The sequence below is a fragment of the Homo sapiens genome, chromosome 17, assembly GCF_000001405.40.
Source record: "Homo sapiens chromosome 17, GRCh38.p14 Primary Assembly".
In the NCBI taxonomy this organism is placed as follows: Eukaryota; Metazoa; Chordata; class Mammalia; order Primates; family Hominidae; genus Homo; species Homo sapiens.
In genome coordinates this window covers 17,324,497-17,337,898 of record NC_000017.11, presented here as the reverse complement: position 1 = coordinate 17,337,898, position 13,402 = coordinate 17,324,497, and the positions used below count along the sequence as shown (strand labels likewise).

Below are 13,402 nucleotides of genomic sequence, written 5' to 3'. Positions count from 1 at the left end.
AAAGCTTCTGCACAGCAAAGGATACAGTCAACAAAGTGAAGAGACAATCCACAGAATGGAAGAAAGTATTTGCAAACTATCCATCTGACAAGGGATTAATAACCAGAATACATAAGGAGTCAAACAACTCTATAGAAAAAAATCTAATAATCTGATTTTAAAATGGGCAAAAGATCTAAATAGACATTTCTCAAAAGAAGACATATGGTGGCTGCGTGTGATGGCTCACACCTATAATCCCAGCACTTTGGGAGGCTGAGGTGGGCAGGAGTTCAAGACCAGCCTGGGCTACATAGTAAGACCCCGTCTCTACAAGAAATACAAAAATTAGCCAGGCATGGTGGCACACGCTTGTAGTCTCAGCTACTTGGGAGGCTAAGGTGGGAGGATTGATTGAGCCTGGGAAGTCAAGGCTGCAGTGAGCCATGATTAAACCACTTGTACACCAGTCTGAGAAACAGGGCAAAACCCAGTCTAAAGAAAAAAAAAAAAAATTAGGCTTGGTGGCACACACCCATAGTCCCAGCTACTCAGGAGGCTGAGGTGGAAAGATAGCTTCAGTCCAGGAGGTTGAGGCTACAGTGAGCTATTTTCACACCACTGCACTCCAGCCTGAGCTACAGAGCGAGATCCTGTCTCAACAACACAAAACAAAAGACATACAAATGACAAACAGGTATATAAAAAGGTGCTCAATATCGCTGATCATCAGAGAAATACAAATCAAACTACAAGGAAATATCATCTCACCCCAGTCAAAATGGCTTTTATCCAAAAGTCAGGCAATAACAAATGCTGGAGAGGACAAGAAGAAAATAAAACCCTTGTACACTATTGGTAGGAATATAATGGCAGTTCCTCTGAAAATCCAGCAGTCCCACTCCTAGGTATATACCCCTAAAAAAAAGGAAATCAGTATATGGAAAAGATACTCGCACTCCCATGTTTATTGCAGCACTATTCACAATAGCCAAAATTTGGAAGCAACCTCAGTGTACATCAACTGATGACTGGATTTAAAAAATGTGGTAAATATACACAATCAAGTACTATTCAGCCATAAAAAAGAATGAGAGCAACCCAGCACTTTGGAAGGCCGAGGAGGGTGGATCAAGAGGTCAGGAGTTCAAAACCAGCCTTACCAACATGATGAAACCCCACCTCTACTAAAAATACAAAAATTAGCCAGGTGTGGTGGTGCATGCCTGTAGTCCCAGCTACTCAGGTGGCTGAGGCAGGAGAATCACTTGAACCCGGGAGGCGGAGGTTGCAGTGAGTAGAGATCACGCCACTGCACTCAAGCCTGGGTGACAGAGTAAGACTCCGTCAAAAAAAAAAAAAAAAGAAAAGAAAAAAGAATGAGAGCCTGTCATTGTCAACAACATGGATGGCACTGGAGGTCATTATGTTAAGTGATATAAGCCAGGCACAGAAAGGGCTATACATGTTCTCACTTACCTATGGGAGCTAAAAATTAAAACAATTGAACTCATGGAGATAGTAGGAGGATGGTTAGTAGAGGCTGGGAAGGGGGAGTGGAGGAGTATCTAGAAGGAAAGTGAAGAGAGTTAATGGGCACAAAAAAATAGAATGAATAGGCTGGGCGCGGTGGCTCATGCCTGTAATCCCAGCACTTTGGGAGGCCAAGGCAGGCGGATCACGAGGTCAGGAGATCAAGACCATCCTGGCTAACACGGTGAAACCCTGTCTCTACTAAAAATACAAAAAATTAGCTGGGCGTGGTGGCGGGCACCTGCAGTCCCAGCCACTCAGGAGGCTGAGGCAGGAGAATGGTGTGAACCCAGGAGGCAGAGTTTGCAGTGAGCTAAGATCGCGCCACTGCACTCCAGCCTGGGTGACAGAGCGAGACTCCATCTCAAAAAAAAAAAAAAAAAAAAGAATGAATAAGACCTAGTATTTGCTAGCACAACAGGGTGACTATAATCAAAAATAATTTAATTGTTCATGGCCAGGCGTGGTGGCTCATGCCTGTAATCCCAGCACCTTGGGAGGCCAAGGCAGGTGGATTACTTGAGGTCAGGAGTTAGAGACCAGCTGGCCAACATGGCAAAACCCCGTCTCTACTAAAAATACAAAAATTAGCCGGACATGGTGGCACGTGCCTGTAGTTCCAGCTACTTGGGAGGCTGAGGCAAGAGAACTGCTTGAACCCAGGAGGCAGAGGTTGTAGTGAGCAGAGATCGCGCCACTGCACTCCAGCCTGAGTGACAGAGCAAGACTCCATCTCAAAAAAAAAAATTGTTCATTTTAAAACAACTAAGAATATAATTGGATTGTCTATAACACAAAGGATTGAATGTTTAAGGTGATAATGGATACCCCATCTGCCCTGATGTGTTTGTTACACATTGCATGCCTGTATCAAAACATCTAATGTACCTCATAAATACACACCTACTATGTACCCACAAAAATTAAAAATTAAAATTAAAAAACCACTTGTATTCCAAAAATTAGCTGGGCATGGTGGCGGGCGCCTATAGTCCCAGCTACTTGGGAGGTGGAGGCAGGAGAATGGCATGAACCCAGGAGGCGGAGCTTGCAGTGAGCCGAGATCATACCACTGCATTCCAGCCTGGGCAACAGAGCAAGACTCCATCTCAAAAAAAAAAATCACTTGTATTCTATATATTTGGAAATTTCAATTAAACAAAGTTTATAATAGCATTAAAAACGAAATAAGCTGAACTGTACACTTGATAAATTTTATCATGTGTATTTACCATTATAAAATATTTAAAAATATATTTATAAAGATAGTCTCTATGCCAAAAAAAAAAACATGAAATAGAGACAAATTTAACACAATATGTGCAAGAGTGGTACACTGAAAGCTACAAAACATTGCTGAGAGAAGGTAGAGGTGGCCTACATAAATGAGGATGTGTATGTGCTTGTGGATCAGAAGACCCAATATTGTTAAGCTTTATAGCTACAATGCACTTGCAATCAAATTCTCACCAGGTTCTTTGTAGAAACTGACCAGCTTGTTCTAAACATTCTATAGAAATATAAAGGACCCAGAATAGCCAAAACAATTTTTAAAATGAAGAATAATTTTGGAAAACTCACACTGCTTTCAAAAGTTACTATAAAACTACAGTGGCCAGGCACAGTGGCTCACGCCTGTAATCCCAGCACTTTGGGAGGCCAAAGTGGGCGGATCACAAGGTCAGGAGATCAAGACCATCCTGGCCAACATGGTGAAACCCCGTCTCAACTAAAAATACAAAAATTAGCTGGGTGTGGTGGCGCGTGCCTGTAATCCCAGCTACTCGGGAGGCTGAGGCACGAGAATCACTTGAACCCAGTAGGAGGTTGCAGTGAGCCGAGATCACACCACTGCACTCCAGCCTGGCGACAGAGCAAGACTCCATCTCAAAAAAAAAAAAAAAAAAACTACAGTAACTGAGACAGTGTGGTATTTACATTAGGTGGGACACTTAGATCAGAGAAGCAGGATACATTCCAGAAATGGACCCCAGGCTACCATGACACTTCAGTGAGAAAGGGTGGCCTTTCCAACAGAGGCACAACTGGATCCACATGCAAAAAAAAAAAAAACCTCTCCATTTTTACCTCCTACAATATATGATAATTAACTCAAAACGAGCCAGGCATGGTGGCTCACGCTTGTAATCCCAATACTTTGGGAGGCCAAGACAGGTGGATCACTTGACGTCAGGAGTTTGACACCAGCCTGGCCAACATGGTGAAACCCCATCTCTACTAAAATACAAAAACATACCAGGCACGGTGTCTCACACCTGTAATCCCAGCACTTTGGGAGGCCGAGGCGGGCGGATCATGAGGTCAGGAGATTGAGACCATCCTGGCTAACACGATGAAACCCCGTCTCTACTAAAAATACAAAAAATTAGCCAGGTGTGGTGGTGGGTGCCTGTAGTCCCAGCTACTCGGGAGGCTGAGGCAGGAGAATGGCATGAACCCGGGAGGTGGAGTTTGCAATGAGCCGAGATTGTGCCACTGCACTCCAGACTGGGTGACAGAGTGAGACTCCATCTCAAAAAAAAAAAAAAAAATACAAAAACATTAGCTGGGCATGGTGGTAGGTGCCTGTAATCCCAGCTACTAGGGAGGATGAGGCAGGTAGAATCGCTTGAACCTGGGAGGCGGAGGTTGCAGTGAGCCGAGATCACGCTGTTGTACTACAGCCAGGGAGACAAAGCAAAACTCCGTCTCAAAAAAACAAATGGATCATAACCTAAATAAAAAATCTAAAAGTATAAAACTTCTGCTCTTCTAAAGACTCTGTTGAGAAAACTCACCTGTAACCTCAGCACTTTGGGAGGCCAAGGCAGGAGGATTGCTTGAGTCCAGGGGTTCAAGACCAGCTTGGGCAACATAGCAAGACCCCATCTCTACAAAAAAAAAGTGTTTTAAAAATTAGCTTGGCATGGCGGCACACACCTATAGTCCCAACTACTCAGGAGGCTAAGGTGGGAGGATCACTTCAGCCCAGGGGGTCACAGCTGCAGTGAGGCGGGATCATGCCACTGTACTTCAGCTGGAGTGACAGCAAAACTCTGTCTCTCAAAAAAGAAAAAAAAGAAAAAGAAAATTAAAATACAAATCACAGACTGGGATAAAATATTTGTAAAACACATTATCTGATAAAGAACTTGTTTCTAGCATATCTAAAGAACTCTCACAACTCACAAACAACTCAATGAGAAACGAGGCAAAAGACTTGAACATTTCGTTACAGAAAATATACAAAGGGTTACTTGCTTAAAAACATGTCCAATGTCATTAATCAAGGAAATGCAAATCAAAACAACAATGAGACACCACTCCCTGCCTATGAGAACAGCCAAAATCCAGAGCCCTGACAATACCAAATGCTGACAAGGATAGGGAGCAAGAGGGACTCTCATTCACTGTGGATTTTTTTTAAGAGACTTTATTTTTTAGAGCAGGTTTAGGTTTACAGCAAAATTGAGCAGAGGTACAGAGTTCCCATATACCCTCCACTCCCACACAACGCACAGCCTCCCCGATTACCAATACCACAGAACGCAGGATACCGGGAGTGAACCCTGATGTAAACTATGGGCTCTGAGTGACCATGGTGCACTGACGTAGGTTCAACAGCTATAATAATGTGCACACTGGTGGGGGCATTGTGCCTTTAGCTCAGATTTGCCTGACAAGGGTCTGTTAGGTTTATCAGCAGCTGTTTGGAAGGAGAAGGGCTGCTCATCACCTGATTACCATTTTGGTTCCTGAAAGCTCTGGGGAGAAAATAGTTCAGCCCAGATGAATGTAAAGGTATCCAAGCATAAAGCGGTGCTGTCGTTCTAAACCAGAATCAGGAAAAATGCCTGCCATGGAACCTAAAACTACATGTAGCTAAAGAATTGCTGGCAGGACTCCCAGGGGAGGCGCTCTCTCCAAGACCTAGGAGTGCAGGCAGGAAGTCCATGAACCACCTCGAGAGCAAAGAGTTCAGTGATTACCAAGAAGACACAGAAGTAAAGGGGGATGCTGGCAGAGGACAGTGCTGGAAAAGATCAGAGGGGCAGATGGCTGGCAGCTCTCGACCCCACCTCCCTGCCCTTCCTGCTCCGCGTGGCTCACAGGCCCATGACCAAATGGACACATCAGAAATAAGAGATCTATGAGCTAGACACAGTCCCTAGCAGGCAAAATGTTGGAAGGGACAGAGTCCTGCTCCACTCAGATGAGCAGATCCCAAGACAGGTCTTAAATCAAGGAGGGTGGGGTATGCAGGTGTGGAGTTGGGTGAATGACACTGCTAGAAAAATAATACCATAGGCCGGATGCGGTGGCTCACACCTGTAATCCTAGCACTTTGGGAGGCCGAGGCGGGTGGATCATGAGGTCGGGAAATCAAGACCATCCTGGCCAACACACTGAAACCCTGCCTCTACTAAAAATACAAAAAATTAGCCAGGCATGGTGGTGGGCGCCTGTAGTCCCAGCTACTTGGGAGGCCAAGGCAGGAGAATGGTGTGAACCCAGGAGGCGGAGCTTGCAGTGAGCAGAGATCGCGCAACTGCACTCCAGCTTAGGTGACACAGCGAGACTCCATCTCAAAAAAAAAAAGAAAAGAAAAAGAAAAAGAATACCATAAAACTGGAGGTTTTCAAAATGAATGGCTTGATCTAGGACACTTTAAAGGTATTATGACCAGGCACGATGGTCTGGGAGTTAGAGGCTGCAGTGAGCTATGATCGTTCCACTAGAATCCACCTGGGCAACAGAACGAGACTCTGTCTTTAAAAAAAAAATTACATAAATAAATAAAGGGATCATGCACTTTTGTCTACAATCCCTATTACAATGATGAAATGGCCAGATCTAACTAGAAGGAGTGAGTTAGCTTTGGAATTATTAGCCATCTGAACAGCCAATTTTATTTTATTTTTTGGAAATGTAATTCACATATCATAAAATTTACCAATTTAAAGTGTACAATTCAATGGTCTTTAGTGTATCAACAATGTTATGCAACCACTACCACTATCTAAATTCCAGAATGTTTCCATCACCCCTAAAAGAAACCCCATGCCAATTAGCATGAACAATTTTTAAAATAAACACGGTATGGGCCAGAAACACGCCAAGAAAGACACCATGAGCCCCACTGAGATGGCAGGGGTGACACTGGGGTTCAGGAGCTCCAGGGGAAGCTCCTGAATGCTGGCAGTGTGGCCGTGCCATCCCCAAAAGAACCTAGGGTTTCTTTACATGCCAAGAGAAAGTGCCAAGTCTTTTAGCCTAAGTCCTACAGGGAGTAACTGGAAAACGTACTGGAGCAACTGGAAATTTAATGTAAAATATGCAAAGAAGGCCGGGTCCAGTGGCTCACGCCTGTAATCCTAGCACTTTGGGAGGCTGAGGCAGGCGATTGCCTGAGCTCAGGAGTTCAAGACTAGCCTGGGCAACACGATGAAACCCCATCTCTACTAAAATACAAAAAATTAGACAGGTGTGGTAGCATGTGCCTGTAGTCCCAGCTACTCGGGAGGCTGAGGCAGGAGAATGGCGTGAACCCGGGAGGCTGAGCTTTCAGTGAGCTGAGATCACACCACTGCATTCCAGCCTGGGTGACAAAGTGAGACTCCGTCTCAAAAAAAAAAAAAAAAAAGAAAGAAAGAAAGAAAGCAAAGAAATGTAATTCATTATCTTAAGTTAAAAAAAAAATGGTCTATGTTGGCCAGGCGCGGTGGCTCACACCTGTAATCCCAGCACTTTGCGGGGCTGAGGCAGATGGATCACCTGAGGTCAGGAGTTCGAGACCAGCCTGGCCAATGTGGTGAAACCTTGTCTCTACAAAAAATACAAAAATTAGCCGGGCATGGTGGCAGATGCCTGTAATCCCAGCTAGTCAGGAGGTTGAGGCAGGGGAATCACTTAAACCCAGGAGGCAGACGTTGCAGTGAGCTGAGATCACGCCATTGCATTCCAGCCTGGGCAACAACAGCAAAACTCTGTCAAAAAAAAAAAAAAAGTCTACGTTTTTACGTTTTTATTTCAGGTTAGAGGAAGAGGCTCAATTAAGGAGTGGGTTTTTTTTTTGTTTTTTTTTTTTTGAGACGGAGTCTGACTGTCACTCAGGCTGGAGTGCAGTGGCACCATCTCGGCTCACTGCAACCTCTGTCTCACGGGTTCACGCCATTCTCCTGCCTCAGCCTCCCAAGTAGCTGGGACTACAGGCGCCCGCCACAACGCTCGGCTAATTTTTTGTATTTTTAGTAGAGACGGGGTTTCACCGTGTTAGCCAAGATGGTCTCAATCTCCTGACCTCATGATCTGCCCACCTCGGCCTCCCAAAGTGCTGGGATTACAGGCGTGAGCCACCACGCCCAGCCAGGAGTAGGTTTTTGTTTTGTTTTGTTTTGTTTGTTTTTGTTTTTTTGAGACAGGGAATTACTCTGTCACTAAGGCTGTAATGCAGTGGCATGATCATAGCTCACTGCAGCCTTGACCTCCCAGGCTCAAGCAATCCTCCCACCTCAGCTTCCCAAGATGCTGCAACTACAGGCACACATCAGCACGCCTGGCTAATTTTTTTTTAGTACAGATGGGGTCTCATCATGTTGCCCAGGCAGGTCTCAAACTCCTGGGTTCAAGTGATCCTCCTGCCTCAGCCTCCCAAAGTGGTGGGATTACAAGCATGAGCCACTGTACCCGGCCTGAAGTGGGAATTTTTGACATTTATTCTAAAAATCAACGTCGAATCAGGCAGACATGTCATCTGGAAACCAGACTTCAAATCAGAAGAGCACATTCCCCTTCGCACCCAAGCCCCTCCCTTAATTTGGCTTGTGATTACTCCCCTTGTTGAACTGGAAAATCTCAGAGTAAAATGCCATGCCTGTGCATGAAGAACCTGACACGGATTTTCAAATCTCTCTAGGGGGTGAAAAGGTACAGGTCATGCTGCTTAAGTTTCAAGTCAAGGAGTCCGAGAAGAGGCAGTGAGGCCGAGGAGCAGAGCATGGGCTCTGAAGTCTGACTCCCCACTTTCTGGCCGCTAACCCTCAGCTTCAACTGTCTGTGCCTCAGTCTGCCCATCTGTAGAACAGGGATAATAAAGATACCTATTTTAAGGCCAGGCGCTGCGGCTCACGCCTGTAATCCCAGCACCTTGGGAGGCCGAGGCGGGCAGATCACGAGGTCAGGAGATCGAGACCATCCTGGCTAACACAGTGAAACCCCGTCTCTACTAAAAATACAAAAAAATTAGCTCGGCGTGGTAGCAGGCACCTGTAGTCCCAGCTACTCGGGAGGCTGAGGCAGGAGAATGGCATGAACCCGGGATGGGGAGCTTGCAGTGAGCCAAGATCACGCCACTGCACTCCAGCCTGGGAGACAGAGCGAGACTCCGTCTAAAAAATAAAAATAAAAAATAGAAATACCTATTTTGTAGGGCTACTATGAAGGCTAAATGGATCACTACAGGGAAAGCCCTTGGAGACGTATACTACCAGCTTGGCTATTGTTAACTATTACCGAGCAATCTGGGTTTAGAATGTTGGGAAACCTTCTTTCCAGCCAGAAAGAAGGTTCTGGCAACCTGAATGTAACCCAATTCCACTCCCTCCATGTGGTGATAAAGTGAGAGACCTCACAGCAGTCAGGTTCCCATCCTCTGACTGGGTCTTGAAAGAAAATCAACCAAGGAGAAAAGTTTCCACTTCTAGCAACAAAGGCTGAACCTACTCAGTGGACAGGAGCTGGGGAAGGAACTGTGAGTGCTCTGGGGCTTAAGCCTAGACCGGGGCTACCGTGGGAGACCTCTGTCCTGTGCAGATGTGCCCCGAGACCCATCTCCAGCCCTTCCTTGCCTCCCCCAGGCATGGAACACAGGAACCATTAATACCAGCCCGCCCTCAGCCAGGGAAGAAGTACCAGTCCATAGGGTTGGGAGGGGCACAAACGGTGGGTGAGGGGGTGCTTGGAAGCAACCTTCGCCTTACTCACTTCTCACCCGCACTTCTCCCCTTGTCTTAGTTCTAGGGTTAAAGGTGGTGGTGTGGCTAAACCATGAGGACAGCTGGGAGATTTGGATAAACTAATCCATTTCACCTGGCCCAACCCCGCTCCCAATCAGCCCCTGTAGCCACTGGCCAACAAAATTCACCCTGAATTCCTCAAATCTGCTGTGCACTTTCCTGTCTTCATGTGTTTGTTCAATGGCCTGCTTCCTCTATTGACTGACCCTATGTGGTCCAGCCTAGCCCCTGGCAGGAGGAAAGTACCCTGCCCACGGCTGGTACAGTGGAAATGAATACAAATTTCTGTGTGATATATACCCGAACCCTACCTTTCCTCGCGTGACCCAGGAATTGTATTTCTTGGAATTCACCCTAAGAACATGACCATACAAAGGCTTACTCACTAGACGTCTTCAGCTATTAACAATCATGTTTCTGGCTGGGCATGGTGGCTCACACCTGTAATCCCAGCACTTCGGGAGACCGAGATGGGCAGACTACTTTGAGGCTAGGAGTTTGAGACCAGCCTGGCCAACATGGTGAAACCCCATCTCTATTAAAAATACAAAAAAATTGGCCGGGCGTGGTGGCTCACGCCTGTAATCCCAGCATTTGGGAGACCGAGGCAGGTGGATCACAAGGTCAGGAGTTTGAGACCAGCCTGACCAACATAGCGAAACCCCGTCTCTACTAAAAATACAAAAATTAGCTGGTCATGGTGGCACGCACCTGTAATCCCAGCTACTTAGGAGGCTGGGGCAGGATAATCACTTGAACCCAGGAGGTGGAGGTTGAAGTGAGCTGAGATTGCACCACTGCACTCCAGCTTGGGTGACAGAGCAGGACTCTGTCTCAAACAAAACAGAACAAAAATATAAAAAATTAGCCAGGCATGGTGACACACACTTGTCCCAGCTGCTTGGGAGGCTGAGGCATGAGAATCACTTAAACTCAGGAGGCAGAGGTTGCAGTGAGCCAAGATCGTGTCACTGCACTTCAGTCTGGGCCACAGAGCTGGACCCTGTCTCACAAAAAAAAAAAAAAATCATGTTTCTGAAGTGTTTGATGACAGAAAAAAGGCTAAAAATATATTAATAAGCAGAAAAGGATAACTATGTTGGATGAAAGCTTTGTTAAAATACATGTATTATATTTAATACGCATCAAAGAAAAACGAGGGCTGGGTGTGGTGGCTCACCTGTAATCCTAGCACTCTGGGAGGACAAGATGGGTGGATCACGAGGTCAGGAGCTAGAGACCAGCCTGGCCAACATGATGAAACCCTGTTTCTACTAAAAATACAAAAAAAAATTAGCCGGGTGTGGTGGCGCACACCTGTAATCCCAACTACTAAGGAGGCTGAGGCAGGAGAATCACTTGAACTTGGGAGGCGGATGTTGCAGTAAGCCGAGATCGCACCACTGCACTCCAGCCTGGGTGACATAGTGAGACCCTGTCTCCCCTACTCCCCCACAAAAAAACTAGAAAGAACCAGATCAAAGTGCTAACAGCATCTCTCTCCAGGTGGTGGGATTGTAGATGTGGATTCTTGTTGCCTTTGCTCTTTCGTTTAGTTTGATCAGGACATCCACTATGAGTGTGACCCTTCTTCTGGCAACAGCATCTCAACTCCTCTGGGAAGCCACGCCTCTGCCACCAACTGCAGCCTTTTAGGACAGTCCATCAGGGCACCCAGGGCTGGGTGTGGGACCCAAGCTCAGCTGATGGGCCTCCCTCTCCTGGGGACTAGGAATCTTGGGCAATGAAACCCAAGGATGGAGAAAGGGCGCTTCAGCGTCTTGGGCTGTTTGCTGGAGAGACGGTCTGCGGGCTCTGCCCCTACGGCCTCAGGCCTGCTTCCTCGGGCTTCCCTTTGATTCCCTGAGCAAGGCAATATCCTTCTAATCAGTCCTGCCTTTGTTCAAGTGAGCCAGAGCCTGTTGATGTTACTGTGACTGGGGTCCTGACATCCCTTTCCTCTTAAATATGCGCGGTTTCCAAATCCTCTCCAGTGAATGCAGGCTACCTCCAGGGGAACACACTGGCGGTGGGCACAGGCTCTTGACAGGCAGACCCGGAGCAGGCCTCACTGGCTGGCCAAGCGTCAGACCTGGTAAATGAGCTGCCTCATCCCTCTGAGCCTCAGTTTCTTCATCTGTCAAATCAGAAGAGTTTTCTTGTTTCACAGGCAGCTGTTGTAAACCTCAAAAGTGAGAATAAAGGGACATTGCCTGGCGTATCAAAGGTGTCAAATGAATGGCAAGCACTGTACTCGCCGGTGTTTAATAACTCTCTGTTGGACAAATGAATCTACTCATTTAACAACAAACGCTGAGTCCTCCCAGTGTGCCACCCTGCGCTGGGTGCTGGGCTTGACAGTGGGCAGGAGGGTGAGAGCCCAGCCTGCACAGGTCCCAGCCCAGTCAGGAGATGGACCAAGAACAAGCCACAGACGAAAACACAAACCCATTTCAAGTGGTGGGAAGTGTCATCCAAAAAACAAGATGGAGAAAGAATACACTTCAATATGATGGTCACGAAATGTGGGGAGACTTCTGGGCCGAGGCCTCGTGGACAAGAAGGCACCAGACCTAGGGGTGGGAGGAGAACATTCCAAGCCAAAAGCTGCTGGAGAAGCACACAGAGAGGGGGGCACAGTGGGTGGAGAGGCAGGCAGGCCCTGCAGGTCATGCTCAGGAGGGTGTATGTGGTTTTTAAAGGGAAACTATTCAGAGGTTTCAAGTCAGGAGCTGCCATGATCTGCTCTGTGAGGGCCTTGTCAGCCTGCATGGAACTGAAAGGAGCAGGCAGTTTAGGAGGCCCTGTCAGCTGTACTGGCAGTAAATGCCAAGATGCTGGCAATGAGAAGAGACAGAAGCAGACAGGTGCCAGGCACGTTTTCGAAATCGGTCCCATGGGACATGGGACTCACCAACAGGCTGGAAGTGAGGGCTTAGAGGAAGACATCAGCACGGCCCCTGATTTCCGACCTGAGGCCACCAGACAGCACTGCCATGCACAAGGAAACCAGCACCCCAGGGACAGATACATCGGGTCTGAGTGTCTGGAGCTCAGAGGGCAGTCCCGGGCCGAGGCAACGCAGGTGGGACAGCTGGCACAAAGACAGTATCTAAATCCCCAGGAACGGATGAATGAGGCCATGTCGTTCATCTCACTCCCACAACTGCTGGTCAACCACCATGGCCACCCAGTGAAACTCCAGCTGAAATAGTGACTCCAGTCCCGCAATCCTTAAACTTGAGGGTGTATGAGAATCACCTGGCGGGCTCGTCAGACCCACATTGCTACTCCCAGAGTGTCTGATTCAGAAGGTGTAGGGTGGGGCTGAAAAATGTCCACTCCTAAGGAGTCTCCAAGGGATGCTGACTCTGGTCTCAGGACTCACTTTGGGATCACTGCTCGACCTGAAACAGTGGGCCTGGCCCACACTCTGAATCCACATTTACTGGCTGCAGGTAAGATACTCCTCTCTCCTAAGTATAAGTGAACTCGTGCTCCTAGCGTGTTAAAAGGGGGTCAGCGAAGGCCGGCCATGGTGGTGCGTGGTGCGCAGCTGTGTTCCCAGCTACTCAAGAGGCTGAGGTGGGAGGATCACTTGAGCCCAGGAGTTCGAGGCTGCAGTGAGCTGGGATGGCACCTGTGAGTGGCCACTGCACTCCAGCCTGGGTGACAGAACAAGACCCACTCTCTAAAATCATGAGGGATGTCAGGGTAACTAGGGAACAAGGTGTCATGAGGACATGATGAAACAGTGGGCACCAAGCACCCACATAATGCCAGAGCAACTGTTCAGCAAGTGTGATTCCCACTGAGCACACAGAGGGCACGCTATGTTGGCTGAATGTGTGAATTTCTTTTTTTTTTTTTAAATT

The 13,402-nt window shown here is 47.3% G+C and overlaps 1 protein-coding gene across 11 annotated transcripts in view, besides 1 other annotated feature; it reads right to left on the bottom strand.

Moving 5' to 3' along the window:
- NT5M (5',3'-nucleotidase, mitochondrial) overlaps positions 1–13,402 on the bottom strand; it is a 44,291-nt gene that overhangs the window by 9,765 nt on the left and 21,124 nt on the right. For 6 of the 11 annotated variants that reach the window (XM_047436421.1, XM_047436419.1, NM_001438936.1 and 3 more), the window contains one exon: positions 4,311–4,403. The exons of 4 other annotated variants lie outside the window; for them this stretch is intronic. In XM_047436421.1, coding sequence (XP_047292377.1) covers positions 4,311–4,403 — 93 coding nt within the window. Of the gene's footprint in view, positions 1–4,310; positions 4,404–10,638; positions 11,713–13,402 lie in introns of those variants that run through there. One more of the 11 variants, XM_011523962.3, reaches the window with a different exon arrangement.
- Positions 10,932–11,432: an enhancer, noted in NCBI's record as "H3K4me1 hESC enhancer chr17:17229781-17230281 (GRCh37/hg19 assembly coordinates)". NCBI's record gives its function as "activates a minimal SCP1, AML or CMV promoter by ChIP-STARR-seq in primed H9 embryonic stem cells {active_cell/tissue: H9 hESC(primed)}" and the evidence as "EXISTENCE:reporter gene assay evidence [ECO:0000049][PMID:30033119]".